Here is a 4,080-nt window from a genome sequence, read left to right on the forward strand (position 1 = left end):
CCCGGCACCCCCGGACCCCTGCGCCCGCGTCACTTACTCCTCTGCCGTCGCCACCTGTCTGGGTGCCGGTCTCCTCCCTGCCCGGCCGCGGCGCGTCCTCTCCGTCCTCGCAGTCCTCGGGCTGTGCCCTTCCCCCCTCCCTCCAGCAACAGCCGCAGCCTCTTCTCCTCGGGAGGGACGTCGTCCTCCTCCCTCCTGGGCCGGCCATCCCTGCCTCGGGTCTTGCCAGTGGCTTCGGAGCTGCCGGAAGGACTGGCCATGGCTCCGGGGGCTCTGCCTGCACTTGGGGAAGAGGAAGGACCCGGCGCGAGCGGCCTCTCGGCTGAGCTGGGGCATCTGAGCGCGGGCTCGGTGGGTCCGCGCGGCGCGGAGCTGGGCATCGGGGCCGGCGCGGGCTCCTCCGCGGGCCGCTCCTGGCTCTCTGGCGCCCTCTGCTGGCCGCTCGCGCGCACCGCGGACACGCCGTGCCAGGGCCTGCGCCGCGCTCACCTGCCCGGCCTAGGCGGTCGCTGTCCCCTGCCCGTGGCCAGGCCCGCTCCGGCCAAGCCTTGCACCTCCTCCCCGCCCCAGCCAGGTTGCACCCCGATGGTCTCCCTGCCCAAGGAGGAGAGAGGAGAAGGGACGCCCCGAGAGGGTGGACATCGGCCACAGCCACCTTGTCTTTGCTCTTACCCTGTGTCTTGCATGGTTTGGAGGTGGTGGGAAAACCGAGGCTGCTCAAAACTCGTGGAGAATTCCGCCTGCAGGATGACATGAATGCACCTTCGCATTGCCTACCAACAGACCTTTTTTGAGCATCTCTGTGGACCAGGAGTGGTGATGGGGGAGGGGATATTGTGGTGAACATGACAGGCATTGCCTTCACCCAGTGGGGCTCAGCGCTGGGTGAGAAGGCATTGAGAATGGACATTGTCAATTGGGCAAAAGGAGGCCAAGGAGAAGTGCTGGGTGCATGGGAACTGAAAAAGACAGGAGGCTCAGCAGGTCTTGGAGCTGGGAGAGGGACAGCAGCAGCGGCTGTTCCAAAGGAAGCAACAGCTGAGAGAGATCTCAGAGAGTTGTTCTCAGCCCAGTGGAGCATGTTCTTCGGGCAGAGGGAACAGCGTGTGCAAAAGCCCAGAGGCTGGGAAAGAAGCAGAAAGAGGACTGTGGGGCTGGAGCGTGGTGGGCAAGGGGAGAGAGGTGTGGTGGGCAGACAGATTGCCTGGGACCCAGCCGTGCAGGGACAGAGGAGATAGGGGATCCTTGCAGGCCCCCAGCCAGGGCTCAGGCACAGAGACAATGCAGGTGGGCAAAGGGAGGAGATGTGGGGAAATATTTTGGAGGCATGCCCTGATGAATGAGCCCAGGATGCACCCTTAGTGTCAGTGTGGAGCTCCTTCCTTGGCTGTGTGATGAGCTTCACCCGGGGGTATTTTCTGGACATTGAGGTGCTACACCCAGAGTCCAGGACAGGCTAAGTGAGCACCAGCAGCTCCTGGCCTACCTCAAAAGCAGGAGAGACAGGGGAGACTGGGGAGGCCGGGAGGAAGGGGAATCCAGGAAGGCAGGAGAGGCCATGGAAGCAGAGGAGGCCAGGGAGGCAGTGGAGGCAGGAGAGGCTGGGGAGGCTGTGTCCTTTCCATGATTCTGCCCAGGATCCTAGGCCCCTGTACTCCCTGAGCTTCCCCACCCCCAGCACTGGAACCATGTTGCACAATGGTCTCTCCACTAAGATCCTGATGGCGGCCCCTATCCTGCTGTGCTCCCTATTTCAACCCTAACAGCTCTCACAGTGGGCAGCACATAGTAGGTGCTCAGGAAACACTGGTGGGAGAGCACATGGGTCTGCTTAGCACCTTCCTCTCTCCTCCAGCTCTCCCCTGTCATGAAATAATTCTGATAACGACACATGGCCTTTGAGACCCTCTTCTATTACTTTCCATATGCTAATCCATCTATACCTCACAGCAGCCCTGGGGGTGGGTGCTATTACGATGCCCATTTTACAGAGGAGGAGACTGACGTATAAAGAGGGTAAGTGACATAGGCACACTACAGGGGCCGGGGCCAAGTGATTGCAGCACTCAATCCCCAAAGGCAAGGTGGATGCAGTTACCATAAAAGACAGCAGAGTCAAAGCTGCAACCAGAATAGCCTGACTCGCAGAGACCTATGGTGCCAGCTGATTGTGGCATTCCTAGAAGTGAAATAGATAAGAAGCCTGCCACATTTTTACTTGATCTGTGTTTGCAGAAGAGTTCTAGGTCAGGTGAGTAGAAGTCTAATCTGAATCATAGAGTCACAGTCCCCAGTCAATTCCCAGAAATAAGCCAGTTCACAGACCCAGAGTCCCGTGTCCGAATGGGAAGCCAGGTCCCCTCCAGAAAGGACTCTGCTCCACTGCCAAAAATTTATACTGTCAATTTTTCTCCCAGCCTGCCCCCAAAGGAATACACAGCCTTTTACCAGGCTGACTGAACAGGGGAAAAGGAACTAATGAGATCTGTGCAGGATCACTGGACACAGGCTGTGAACTGGCACTAGGGCGAGACTAGGGTCTACTAGTCAGAATAGGCATTTTGGAGGTCAGGTGAATATTAGTGCAAGTTCATGTCATGATAGATCCATTGGGTCCCCAAATCCATTCTCTGGTTATATACAAAGGGGCCATGCTGAGATTCAAATTCAGGGCATCCAACATAGAGGCTGTGCTCGTACTCATGAAACATTCTGACACTAGTAACCTATTTAAAAATGCAAACACCTCCTGGGGCTAGCCAGAGTCCTCCAAACAGTCATGTAAATTGGTTCTGTCAAGGATTTCCTCCTACCCCCTGCTGAGAGCCAGTTGCAAGGAGAGACTAGGGAAGGGCATTGGGTAACTTTGTTGCTAAAAGCTGTTTTGGATAAAGACGTTTGGGAAAAGAAGCAAATAGAGTTCAGCAGAAGATGTAAGAAAGTAAGTTTATGTTTGGCCAGGCACGGTGGCTCACACCTGTAATCCCAGGACTTTGGGAGGCCGAGGTGGGCAGATCACGAGGTCAAGAGATCGGACCATCCTGGCCAACATGGTGAAGCCCCATCTCTACTAAAAATTCAAAAATTAGCTGGCCATGATGGCACACGCCTGTAGTCCCAGCTACTCGGGAGCCTGAGGCAGGAGAATCACTTGAACCCAGGAGGCAGAGGTTGCAGTGGGCCGAGATCATGCCACTGCATTCCAACCCGGCAACAGAACAAGACTCCGTCTCATAAAACAAACCAAAACAAACAAAAAAAAAGGAAGCTTATTTTTAAGCCTGAACAAGTGTAGTGGTTTAGGCGTTCTGCAAATACGGCCCCAATCAGGCTACAAGATGTTGTGGCAGGAACACTTACACCCAGTCACTTCTGGCCGCCTGAGCCACTTTTCAAAACACACTTGCACAGCTGTGCAGAGCGGCTGGATCCACTGGCAGCCGGCAGAGCCATAACTCACACTGTCACCACTCCCCTCAAACCCTTTCAGTAAGCACTTTATTTATTTTTTTTGAGACGGAGTCTTGCTCTGTCATCCAGGCTGGAGTGCAGTGGCGCAATCTCAGCTCACTGCAAGCTCCGCCTCCCAGGTTCATGCCGTTCTCCTGCCTCAGCCTCCCAAGTAGCTGGGACTACAGGTGTCCACCACCATGCCTGGCTAATGTTTTGTATTTTTAGTAGAGACGGGGTTTCACCGTGTTAGCCAGGAGGGTCTCGATTTCCTGACCTTGTGATCCGCCTGCCTCAGCCTCCCAAAGTGCTGGGATTACAGGCTTCAGCCACCGCGCCCCTCCTGGTAAGCACTTTTAATCAATGCAACAGGAATGAACATTTGCTGCAGAGCGGCAATGTGCAGGGAGGAACATTGTTCCACTCAGGCTCAGAAAGCAAAACCTCCTGGCTGTTTGCATCTATGCGAGAGCTCACAGGAAAAGCCCTCTGTGTGGCTGCCAGCCTCACACACTCCCCCCAAGGGATGAGTTTCTCTTTCCATGTTAATCTATGCCCTGACGTGCCATCTGTCAACCACCACACCATTCTCAGTTGACATTTCAAAGCATCTTTGCCCTGTGAATAGTC

The 4,080-nt window shown here is 55.4% G+C and overlaps 1 annotated feature.

Annotated features, from left to right (window-relative positions):
• Positions 315-524: a silencer, noted in NCBI's record as "silent region_14537". NCBI's record gives its function as "represses an Ori minimal core promoter by ATAC-STARR-seq in GM12878 lymphoblastoid cells {active_cell/tissue: GM12878}" and the evidence as "EXISTENCE:reporter gene assay evidence [ECO:0000049][PMID:35858748]".

Source organism: Homo sapiens, chromosome 3 (genome assembly GCF_000001405.40).
Source record: "Homo sapiens chromosome 3, GRCh38.p14 Primary Assembly".
Taxonomy (NCBI): domain Eukaryota; kingdom Metazoa; phylum Chordata; class Mammalia; order Primates; family Hominidae; genus Homo; species Homo sapiens.